At 37.8% G+C, this 11,952-nt stretch overlaps 4 annotated features.

The window, feature by feature from the left end:
- Nucleotides 7,775-8,275: an enhancer, noted in NCBI's record as "H3K27ac hESC enhancer chr8:130314706-130315206 (GRCh37/hg19 assembly coordinates)". NCBI's record gives its function as "activates a minimal SCP1, AML or CMV promoter by ChIP-STARR-seq in primed H9 embryonic stem cells {active_cell/tissue: H9 hESC(primed)}" and the evidence as "EXISTENCE:reporter gene assay evidence [ECO:0000049][PMID:30033119]".
- Nucleotides 8,276-8,776: an enhancer, noted in NCBI's record as "H3K27ac hESC enhancer chr8:130315207-130315707 (GRCh37/hg19 assembly coordinates)". NCBI's record gives its function as "activates a minimal SCP1, AML or CMV promoter by ChIP-STARR-seq in primed H9 embryonic stem cells {active_cell/tissue: H9 hESC(primed)}" and the evidence as "EXISTENCE:reporter gene assay evidence [ECO:0000049][PMID:30033119]".
- Nucleotides 8,836-8,895: a silencer, noted in NCBI's record as "silent region_19538". NCBI's record gives its function as "represses an Ori minimal core promoter by ATAC-STARR-seq in GM12878 lymphoblastoid cells {active_cell/tissue: GM12878}" and the evidence as "EXISTENCE:reporter gene assay evidence [ECO:0000049][PMID:35858748]".
- Nucleotides 9,006-9,065: an enhancer, noted in NCBI's record as "active region_27964". NCBI's record gives its function as "activates an Ori minimal core promoter by ATAC-STARR-seq in GM12878 lymphoblastoid cells {active_cell/tissue: GM12878}" and the evidence as "EXISTENCE:reporter gene assay evidence [ECO:0000049][PMID:35858748]".

Consider the following 11,952-nt stretch of genomic DNA (forward strand, 5'->3'; position numbering starts at 1 on the left):
CTGACACTGTTAGTTGGATATTTGTATGCTAATGTGGCAACTGGGGATAAGATTGAAAGCACTTGCCAGGTGGTGACCAGGGGTGGGAGTTGGGGGAGGGAACCCCAGACCAGAAACAAAGCACAGTGGGGAATGAGAGAGATGATCATCACCATCACCTCCCAGGTTTCCTGAGTCAGAGCAGAGTCATGGTGCTGAATGAATCAATTACATCCTTCCACGTAGGAGATTTTATTTAATATTCACAATAACCTTGTGACGTTAGCAAAGGAACACTAGTAGATCCATGTCACAGGATGAAGCAATTGAAGCTCAGAGAAACTGAGTCACTTTCTTTCCCAAGGTCACACACAGTTAATGGCAGAGATTGAACCAGGTCTGTTTCCTTCCTTTTCAAGGTTGGTTCTTTTATGGACAAGCAGGTCTAAGACATCAAGATGAAAGTCTCCCTTCTAGTCTGAGTGCTAATCCAGGCTTTCTAGCTTACACTGATAATGCTGTTAAGAGCATAACATGAATATCCAGAGTACCGCTAAGGGCACAGCATCCAGGAGGCCCTGGGGATGACTTGGGTTGGAGTCATTAAAGACATCATTTTCAGTTTTAGATAGTTCAAATGCCAACCCTGCCACTTATATCCCCGTGAGCCTGGCCAAACTACATAGCCTCATTGGCCTTGAGTTTCCTTGTCTTTAAAGCAGGGATAATATATTAATCTTCATCCTTGCCAGGCTTCAATGAGACTAAGTTAAAATGCCCTCTGTAAGTGCTAGCTCCTCTTGTGAGGGCTTCAGCAGGCATAGACATTTCTCTGAGATTATGGGTTCTGTCTCCAAGCTCCTGACTCCAATCCCTTTCTCTTATTTCACTCACTGGGGACAACCAGGCTGCCAGAATGGTCTACTGACTGACCTGCCTGGAACACACAGCTCTTTTCTATTATCAATAGAATAAAAGATGCCAAGAACATCTGAGACCTTAATACTTAAAGGGACAGTCTTTACAGACTTAATGATGGTCTATTTTTAAGCACACAGGATCAGAAATAGTGAACAATATGATTGTGATACGGAAACTTTCTGATGAAGAGTGTTTTTGCAAGGTCTGTGTCATGGAACATTCCTGCTATGTTTTCTATTCTTACAGAGCTTAAACCTATTCACGTGTTTAGATGGTCACTTGTAAGATTTGAAGGCCAATCATCTATCAAGAAATAAAACTAATGCATGTGTCATTCCAATAAACAACCTAGCTAATGCAAAATTGCCAACAATGATTTTTCTTCATTTAAGTAGTTGATGATTCATTCAGCATGAGTACATCTTGCCACAATAAAGGAGAGTACTTGCCCACACCATTTATTACAGAGAGAAAAAGAGAAAATGGGTAAGCCAAAACAAAACAAAACTAAAACATAGTCTTTGATTTGTGATGCCCATCTACTTGCTAACTTTGTGACTAGACAAACTGGTTAACTTCTTTGAGCTTCCACTTCTTTATTTCTCCACTGGGGATGTAATGCAGTGTATTAGCTTGTTTTCACACGGCTATAAAGAACTACCTCAGACTGGGTAATTTATAAAGAAAAGAGGCTTAATTGACTCACAGTTCACAGGGTTGGGGAAGCCTCGGGAAATTTACAATCATGGCAGAAGGTGAAGGAAAAGCAGGCACCTTCACAAGATGGCAGGAGAGAGAGAGCAAGGGGGAAGTGCCACACTTTAAAACCATCAGATCTCACGAGAATGCACTCACTATCACGAGAACAGCAAGGGAGAAGTCTGCCCCCATTGTCAAATCACCTCCCACTCAGCCCCTCCCTCGACACATGGGAACCACAATTCGACATGAGATTTGGGTGGGGACACAGAGCCAAACCATATCATATAGGCTCAACACCCTTACAACCTCTTGTGAAGAAGACTGTAAATCCCCATATTTAATTGAGGGATTGTTATTCCCATTCTGAGCTTCTTTCTTCCATTCCATTTCTTACTATCAAAGTGCTCAAGATTCATTATATTCAAGGACACACACTATGGTTGCATTCCTGGGCAGCACTTGCTATTCTGGATTCTACTGTTATTCCTTGTTTCCATTAAATGTGAACAATGGGATCTGTGTATGACCCACTTCCACAGATGAGTAATATGGTGGCAAAACATGGGCTTTGTAATCAGCTAGGGTCTGGTTGTAATCCTAGTTTGATCAACCCTGTGTTTTATGTGGATTTACTTTCCTCATCTGTGAAATAATATGGATAATAATTTTTTAGGGTTGTAATTTAAGAGCTTTGTTGAGACATAATTTATATATCATACATCTCTCATTTAAAGTGTAAAACTAAACTATTTTTCATATATCCACAGAGCCGTGCCACCATCACTACAAACGAACTTTAAAACATTTAATCCACACTGATAAAAAACACCATTAGTAGTCACTCCCCTTACTTCTCCTGCCAACTTTATGAAAAAACTAATCTCTTTTCTGTCTTTATAGATTTGTTTATTCTTGCTATTTTATACAAATGGAAACATACAATATGTGATCATTTGTGACTAGCTTCTTTCACTTAGCATAACATTTTCAAGATTCACCAGTGTTTTAGTATCACAACTTCATTCTTTTTCATTGCTAAATAATATTCCATTGTATAAATATATCACATTGTATTTACCCGTTTATCAGATGGTGAATATTTGATGCTTTTTAACTATGATGATAAATGCTTCTATAAATATGTGTACAAGTTTTTGTGTGGACATGTTTTCATTTCGCTTGGGTTATATATCTAGAAGTAGAATTGCAGGGTCATATGCTAGCTCTGTGTTTAACTTTTTAAGGAGCTGCCAAACTGTTTCCAAAGCAACAATATATTCCACCAGCAATATATCAGTGTTCCAATTTCTCTGCTTTCTTACCAATATTTGTTATTTCAGTAGAAATGAAGTGATATCTTATTTAGATTTTCATTTGCATTTACCTAATGACTAAGCATTTTTCATATTATTATTGTCCATTTATATCCCTCTCTTTGAGAAATGTCTATACAGGTCCTTTGCTAATTAAAAAAATAGGCTATCTTTTTATTATTGAATATTAGTTTTTTGTATATTCTGGATACAAGTCTCTTAGCAGATATATGATTTGCAAATATTTTCTCTTATTACATAGGTTGTTCTTTTCACTTTTTGATGGTAGATTTTACAACACAAAATATGACACTTTTATGGTTCAATTTATAGTTTTTTCTTTGCTTGCTTTTTGGAATTGTAACTTTAAAAAATTGTATAATCTGAGTTTGCAAAAAGTTATTTGTAGGTTTTCTTTTAATAAATGAATACTTTAAGCTGTTACATTTAGACGTGACATCCATTTAGTTTTTTTGTTTAGTTGGTTGGTTGGATTTTTATTTTTTCTATTTGCTACAGAGCTAGAACCTTTATTACTTTTTAAAAATAATTTCAACTTTTATTTTAGATTCATAGGGTATATGTACAGTTTTGTTATATAAGAATATGGGCAATGCCAAGGTTTGGGGTATGATTGATCACATCAGCTGGTTACTGAGCAAGCTACCTAATAGTTAGTTTTACAACCCTTGCCCCCTTTTTTAGGAGTCCCCATTGTCTATTATTGCCAACTGTATCTCCATGAATATACACTTATAAGTGACAGCAAACATGCAGTATTTCGTTTTCTACAATATGAGGCTACAGTAACCAAAACAGCATGATTCTAGTGCAAAAACAGATACACAGACCAATGGAACCGAATAGAGAACCCAGAAATAAAGCCACACGCCTACAGGCAACTGGTCTTTGACAAAGTTGGCAAAAGTAAGCGATGAGGAAAGAACTCCCCATTCAGTAAATGATGCTGGGATACCTGGCTAGCTATATGCAGAAGAATGAAACTGGATCCCTTTCTCTCACCACGTACTAAAATTATATCAAGATGGATTAAATACAGTATAGTTTGAATTTGAGTAATGTGATGCCTCCAGATTTGTTATTTTTGCTTAGTCTTGCTTTGGCTATGCAGGCTCTTCTTTGGTTCCATATAAATTTTAGGATTGTTTTTTCCAGTTCTGTGAAAAATAATGGTGGTATTTTGATGGGAATTGTATTGAAATTGTAGATTGCTTTTAGCAGTAAGGTGATTTTCACAATATTGATTCTACCCATCCATGAGCATGAGGTGTGTTTCCATATTTTGTGTCGTCTATGATTTCTTTCAGCAGTGTTTTGTAGTTTTCCTTGTGGATGTCTTTCACCTCCTTGGTTAGGTATATTCCTAAGTATTTTATTTTTTTGCAGCTATTGTGAAAGGGGTTGAATTCCTGATTTGATTCTCAGCTTGGTCACTGTTGTAGTATAGCAGAGCTACTGATTTGTGGACATTAATTTCGTATCCTGAAACTTTGCTGAATTCATTTACCAGTTCTAGGAGCTTTTTGGATGAGTCCTTAGTGTTTTCTAGGTATACGATCATATCATCAGCAAACAGCCACAGTTTGACTCCCTCTTTACCAATTTGGATGCCCTTTATTTCTTTCTCTTGTCTGATTGCTCTCATTAGGACTTCCACTACTATGTTAAATAGAAGTGGTGAGAGTGGGCATCCTTATCTTGTTCCAGTTCTCAGGTGAATGCTTTCAACTTTTCCCCATTCAGTGTAACATTGGCTGTGGGTTTGTCCTAGATGACTTGTATTAATTAAGTTATGTCCCTTCTATGCCAATTTTGCTGATGGTTTTAATCATTAAGGGATGTTGGATTATGTCAAATGCTTCTTCTGTGTCTATTGAGATGATCATGTGATTTTTGTTTTTAATTTTGTCTATGTGGTGTATCACATTTAGTGACTTACATATGTTAAATCATCCCTGCCTCCCTGGTATAAAACCCACTTAATCATGATGGATTATCTCCTTGATATGCTGTTGGATTTTTTCGCTAGTATTTCGTTGAGGATTTTTGCATCTATGTTCATCAGGGATATTGGTCTGTAATTTTTTGTTTTATCCTTCTAGTTTTGGTATTAGGGTGATGCTGGCTTCATATAATGATTTAGGGAGGATTCCCTCTTCCTCTACTTTTTAGATTAGCATCAATAGGATTGGTGCCAATTCTTTGAATGTCTGATAAAATTCAGCTGTGGATCCATCTGGTTCTGGACCTTTTTTGCTGTTGGCAATTTTTTTTTAATTACCAGTTCAAGCTCACTGCTTGATATTGGTCTGTTCAGATATTCTATATCTTTCTGGCTTAATGTAGGAGGGCTGTATATTTCTAGGAATTTATCTATCTCCTGTAGGTTTTCTAGTTTGTGCACATAAAGGTGCTCATAGTAGCCTTAAATAACCTTTGTATTTCTGTGGTATCAGTTGTAAATCTCCCATTTCATTTCTAATTGAGCTTATTTGGATCTTCTCTCTTCTTTTCTTGGTTAGTCTCACTAATTGTCTATTAATTTTACCTTTTCAAAGAACCAGCTTTTTGTTTCATTTATCTTTTTTTGTTTGTTTGTTTCAATTTTATTTAGTTCTGCTCTCATTGTTATATCTTTTCTTCTGCTGGGTTTGCTTTGCTCTTGTTTCTTTAGTTCTTTGAGGTATGACCTTATATTGTTTATTTGTGCTCTTTCAGACTTTTGATGTAGGCATTCAATGCTGTAAACTTTCCTCTTACCACCACTTTTGTTTTATCCCAGAGGTTTTGATAGGTTGTGCCACTGTATTGTTCAGCTCACATTTTTTAATTTCCATCTTGATTTCATTGTTGACCCAGTGATCATTCAGGAGCAGGTTATTTAATTTTCATGTATATGCATGGTTTTGAGGGTTCCTTTTGTTTGATTTCCAATTTTATTCCACTGTGGTCTACGGGAGTACTTGATATAATTTCAGTTTTCTTAAATTTACTGGGACTTGTTTTGTGACCTATCATATCATGTATCTTGGAGAATGTTCCACATGCTAATGAATAAATATATACTCTGTAGTTGTTGGATAGAATGTTCTGTAAATATCTGTTAAGTCCATTAGCTGTAAGGTATAGTTTAACTCCATTGTTTCTTTGTTAACTTTCTGTCTTGATGACCTATCTAGTGCTGTCCGTGGAGTATTAAAGTCCCCCACTATTATTGTGTTGCTGTTTTTCTCATTTCATAGATCTAGTTGTAATTGTTTTATACATTTGGAAGCTTCAGTGTTAGGTGCATATATATTTAGAATTATGAGATTTTCCTGATGGTCTAGTCCTTTTATCATTATATAATGTCCCTCTTTGTCTTTTTTAACTGTTGTTGCTTTAAAGTTTGTTTTGTCAGTTATAAGAATAGCTACTCCTGCTCACTTTTAGTGTCCATTTGCATAGAATATCTTTTTCCACCCCTCTACCTTAAGTTTATGTGAATCCTCATGTGTTAGATGAGTCTCTTGAAGACAGAAGAAACTTGGTTGGTGAATTCTTATCCATTCTGCCATTCTGTATCATTTAAGTGGAGCATTTAGGCCATATAGATTCAATATTAGTATCCAGAAGTGCGGTACTATTCTATTCATCATGCTATTTGTTGCCTGAATACCTTGTGTTTTTTTCTTTGTGTTATTGTTATATAGGTCCTGTGAGATTTATGTTTTAAAAAGGTTCTATTTTGGTGTGTTTCAAGAATTTATTTCAAGATTTAGAGCTCCTTTCAGCAGTTCTTGTGGTGCTGGCTTGGTAGTGGCAAATTCTCTCAGTATTTGTTTGTCTGGAAAAGACTGTATCTTTCCTTCATTTATAAAGCTTAGTTTCACTGGGTACACAGTTCTTGGTTGATGAATGTTTTGTTTAATGAGGCTAAAAACAGAATACCAGTCCCATCTAGCTTGCAGGGTTTCTGCTGAGAAATCTGCTTTTAATCTGTTAGGTTTTCCATTACAGGTTACCTGAGGCTTTTGCCTCATAGATCTTAAGATTCTTTCCTTCATCTTGACTTTAGATAACGTGATTATTATGTGCCTACACAATGATCTTTTTGCAATAAATTTCCTAGGTGTTCTTTGAGCTTCTTGTGTTTGGATATCTAGATCTCTAGCAAGATTGGGCAAGTTTCCCTCTATTATTTCCTCAAATATGTTTTCCAGACTTTAGATGTCTCTTCTTCCTTGGGAACACCAATTATTTTTATGTTTAGACATTTGACATAGTTTCAAACTTCTTAGAGGCTTTTTTTTTTAATTCTTTGTCCTTTGTCTTTGGTTAATTTGAAAACCTTGTCTCCAATCTCTAAAGTTCTTTCTTCTGCTTGTTGGATTCTATTGCTGAGACTTTCCAGGGCATTTTGCATTTCTCTAAGTGTGTTTTTGATTTCCAGAAGTTGTGATCTTTTTTATTTGTGCTATCTATTTCACTGAAGAATTTTTCTTTCATATCCTGTGTCATGTTTTTTATTTCTTTAAGTTGTACTTCACCTTTCTCTGGAGCCTCCTTCATTAGCTTTATAATTGACCTTTGGAATTCTTTTTCTGGCAATTCAGAGATTTTGTCTTGGTTTGGATCCATTGCTGGTGAGCTGGTATGATCTTTTGGGGGTGTAAAAGAACCTTGTTTTGTCATATAACCAGAATTATTTTTCTGGTTCCTTCTCATTTGGGTAGACTATGTCAGAGGGAAGATCTGGAATTCAAGCACTGCTCTTCAGATTCTTTTGTCCCATGGAGTGCTCCCTTGATATGGTGTTCTCCTGAATGGGGCTTCCTGAGAGCTTAACTGTAGTGATTGTTTTTGCTCTTCTGGATCTAGCCACCTAGCGGAGCTACTGGGCTCTAGGCTGGTGCTAGGGAGATGCCTGCAAATTGTCCTGTGATGTGATGTCTTCAGGTCTTGCAGCCATGGAGACCAGCACCTGCTCTAGTGGTGGTAGCAGGGGAATGAAGTGGACTCTTTGAAGGTCTTTGGTTGTGTTTGTGTTTAGTGTGCTGGTTTTGTGTTGGTTGGCCTCTAGTCTGGAGGTGGCACTTTCAAGAGCACATAAACTGCAGTCCTATAGGAAAGATATACACTTGCTTGAGGGACACCTGGCTAGGAATTCAGGTTTCTAAGGTGGTGGGTAGGGCTATAGAACTCCCAGGAGATATGACCTTTGTGTTTGTTTACCAGGCGGGTAGAGAAAGACCACCGGGTGGGGGCAGGGATAGGCATGTCTGAGCTCAGCCTCTCCTTGGGCAGGGCTTGCTGCTGCTGCTGCTGTGGAAGATGGGGGGATGGTTCCCAGCCCAATGGACTTATATTCCCAGGGGGATTATGGCAGCCTCTGCTGAGTCATACAGGTCACCAGGGAAGTGGGGGAAAGCTGGCAGTCACAGGCCTCAACCTGTTCCCACATATACCACAGTCCTAAAGGCCAATCTCACTTCCACCGCACCCCACTAATGGCACCAAGTCTATTTCCAGGCAGCTGGTGACCAGAATTGAGAACTTGCCCCAGACCATGAGCCTCCCCATTGAGAAAGCAAGCCGACTCACAGTTTTTCGGCATCTCAAGGAGCCTGCAGCAGTGATCCAGGTCCTTCAAAGGGTCTTTGGATTCTCTCAGCTTTCCTGGTATGTTCCTGAGGTAGTTCTTGGAGCAAAAGTTCATGATGTGAGTCTCCACACAATGCTATGTCATCCCGAATGGGAGCTGCAAGCTAGTCCTGCTTCCTAACTGCCATCTTAATCCAATCTCTTCTCTCTATATTTTTTTCTTTCCTTTTCCCTTTCTCTGTCCCTTAGGGAATGCGGCTGTTGGGTAGGGGGTTTTGGCTGTGCTTCTATAGCCCTGTGCACTTCTGTTGGCAGTTTTTATATTGGGGTGTGCAGTTCAAACTATGAGCCAGTAGATGGCGCTTATGGTAAGAGCCAACTGTAGACAATGCGAATGGTTGTATACTTGATCTTTGCTCCCTGGGAGAAGGTCTCTGTTGCCATAGGCAATGGTCTGATGTCTGGAGTACACAGTGGTCTGAGCCCTCTGCTTAGCCTCAGGGGGTTGGGGGGGGGGGGCAAGATGGGTGAGACTGGACCAGTCAGGCCTATCTACAGGTCCCTCCATGGCAAGCACAAGCACCAGCATTGAGGGAGAATCTGGTGGGCAGCCAACAAGCCCCCAGAGGTGTACCTAGGCACAGAGCTGAAAAACCTCCTTGGCTCCAAGTTCTACGCGTGGGGAGAGAGAGTGGCCTAAACTCCTAATCCAGGACAGTGGGTGTTCCAGATGGCCTAGAGATTTGCCTGTGTGCAGAGTATAGAGGGCCCTGCTGTCTCTGCACAGGAGAGGTGGGCCAGCTCAGGCTGATGATTTAGGCAAGCAGGATCTCTGATTACCTGGAGATTTACCTGGGTCTGAAGCAGAGAGGGCTCCACTTTACCACAGTCTTTGCACAGAAAGGGTGAAATGGCTCAGGCTGCTGACCTGGGCAAGTGGTGCTCTAAATGCCTGGAAATCTGCCTGGTAATGGAGCAGAGAGGGCCTCACTTTACGATAATGTCTGTAGAGGAACAGTGGGGTGGCTCAGTCTGCTGGTCCAGACAAAGAACTCTGAATGGCATGAAATGGGATACTACTTTGGAGGCTGATAGCCAGTAAACTTGCCACCTGATGTTCATATGCAAAAGGCCTCTATTTCACTGACCTTTAAGATCTCCTCACACTCTTTAATCTTCTTTCTGCTATCCATTATGAGTTGATTTTTATGTATGGTGTGAGGAAATGATCCAACTTCATTATTTTGCATATTAATATTCAGGTGTCCCTGTCTTATTGTCCTGGTACAAATTAAATGACCATAAATGTATAAATTTATTCCTGGAAACTCCATGGTCTTCCGTTGATTTATGTGTCTTTGCTTACGTCAGAACCACACAGTCTTGATCTTGTAATCAAGTTTTGTAGTAAGTTTTTAAATCAGAAAGTATAAATTCTATTTTCTTTTTCAAGATTGTTTTGGCTATTCTGGGTCCCTGGCATTGCCATTTGGATTTTAGAACCAGTATGTCCCTTTCTGGGGAAAAAAAACAAAAAACAAAAAAACAAAAAACAAACAAACAAAAAAAACACCTAGCTATATTTTGAAGGAGGTTATATTGAATCTGTAGATCAACTTGGGGAGTATTGCCATCTTAAGCATATTTTGCTCTCTGACGCGTAACAGTAGCGATATCTATCCTTTTACTTAATTCTTTAATTACTTTAACAATGATTTTTAGTTTATAATGTACAAGTCTTGCACTATGTTGTCCCCAAGTATTTTATTCATTTTGATGTTATCATAAAATAAATTGTTTTTGAATTTCATATTCAGAATGTTCATTGCCAGTGTATAGAAATATAATCAATCTTTGTATGGTGTTCTTATGTACTGAAACCATAGAAAACTTATTTATTGGCTTTAACAGATTTTATTTGATTTTTAATGATTTTTTACATACAAGATTATACCATCTGCAAATATAGTTTTAATTCTTCATTTTTAAATTGCATGCCATTTATTTCATTTTTCTCTGACCTAATTCTCCTGACTAAAATCTCCAGTAAAATGTTGAATAGAAGTAATAAGAAAGGACATCTTGACTTTTCCTGATCTTAGGGGAAAAGCATACACAAAATTTAATTCAGTCTTTCACCATTACGTATTATGTTAGCTAAGGAGTTTTCACAGATGCATTTTATTAAGTTGAGGAAGTTGCCTTCTTTTCCTAGCTTCTTGAGTGTTTTTATTACAAAGTGTGTTGTATCATGTCCATTTTTCTCTGTATGTATTATGATGGTCATGCATTGTTTATTCTTTATTTTATTGATACTATGCATTACATAATTTAGTTCAGATATTAAGCCATCCTTACATTCCTGGGATAATTCTACTTTGTCATGGTATTCAGTCATTTTTATATGATACTGGATTCAGTTTGCTGGTATTTTATTGAGGATTTTTTGTATGTATTCATAAAATATATTGTGTTATAGCTAAGATTTATTTTTTCTAGTTTTGTCACCTGGGTAATAACTGACCTCAGAGAATAGGAAGTAGTCCTTCCTCTTCTAATTTTTGAACTGATTCCTTTTCTATTTTTCAGAGGAACTTGAAAAGAGTGGCTACTAATACATCTTAAATACGTTTTTTAGATAAGTAAAACTTACCATTGAAACTATCAACTTTAAAACTTTGTTAAGTCTGACATCTGGGCCCCTTCACAGGCAGTTTCTTTTGCTCAATCTTTTTTTTTTTTTTTTTTCTGTGCATAGATCACACATTCCTCTTTCTCTGAATGTGTCATAATTTTTTTGCTGAAAAATAGACATATTTTAGATAATACACTATAACATGTATGGAAACTGACTCCCTAACCAGAGCTTCATTTTTGTTATTTGCTTGTTTACTTAATTTTATTTTAGTGACTTGAAGGGACTGGTTTAGTAAAGTGTTCTCCCACAGTGTACAGCTCTGATGTCACTTCTAAAAGGGTGCAGCCTGGGGTATATGCAGTCTCCTTGATCACCTGGCTGATCTACGTGTATTGGCTTCACACTCAAATATTAGACTTTACTGTTACTTCATTGCTCTGTTGTTTATGGCAATGTCCTGGGGCATCAATTGCTCAAGAATTCTATCCTTTGTAGGGCATGAGACTGCCAGTTTTGGGGGATGGTTTAACTCTAATAGGATTCTTCTTAACTATTTTTCTGATTCTCTCTGTTAAAATTTTAGCTGGTAACATTTTCATTTTCACTTTGAGGATCATGAAAGTACCAGCCTTCTCTTGATTGATCATGCCAGGATCTCCATTGTGCCTTTAGGCATACACTTCCCCAGACTCTTTTACAGGTGAAGTCAGTCCATTTAGGGAGATCTCTGGAGATTCTGTCTTTAAGATCTGACTGTTCATCTGGGTCAAAACCTTGTATTATTTATTACTGTAC

Source organism: Homo sapiens, chromosome 8 (genome assembly GCF_000001405.40).
Source record: "Homo sapiens chromosome 8, GRCh38.p14 Primary Assembly".
Taxonomy (NCBI): domain Eukaryota; kingdom Metazoa; phylum Chordata; class Mammalia; order Primates; family Hominidae; genus Homo; species Homo sapiens.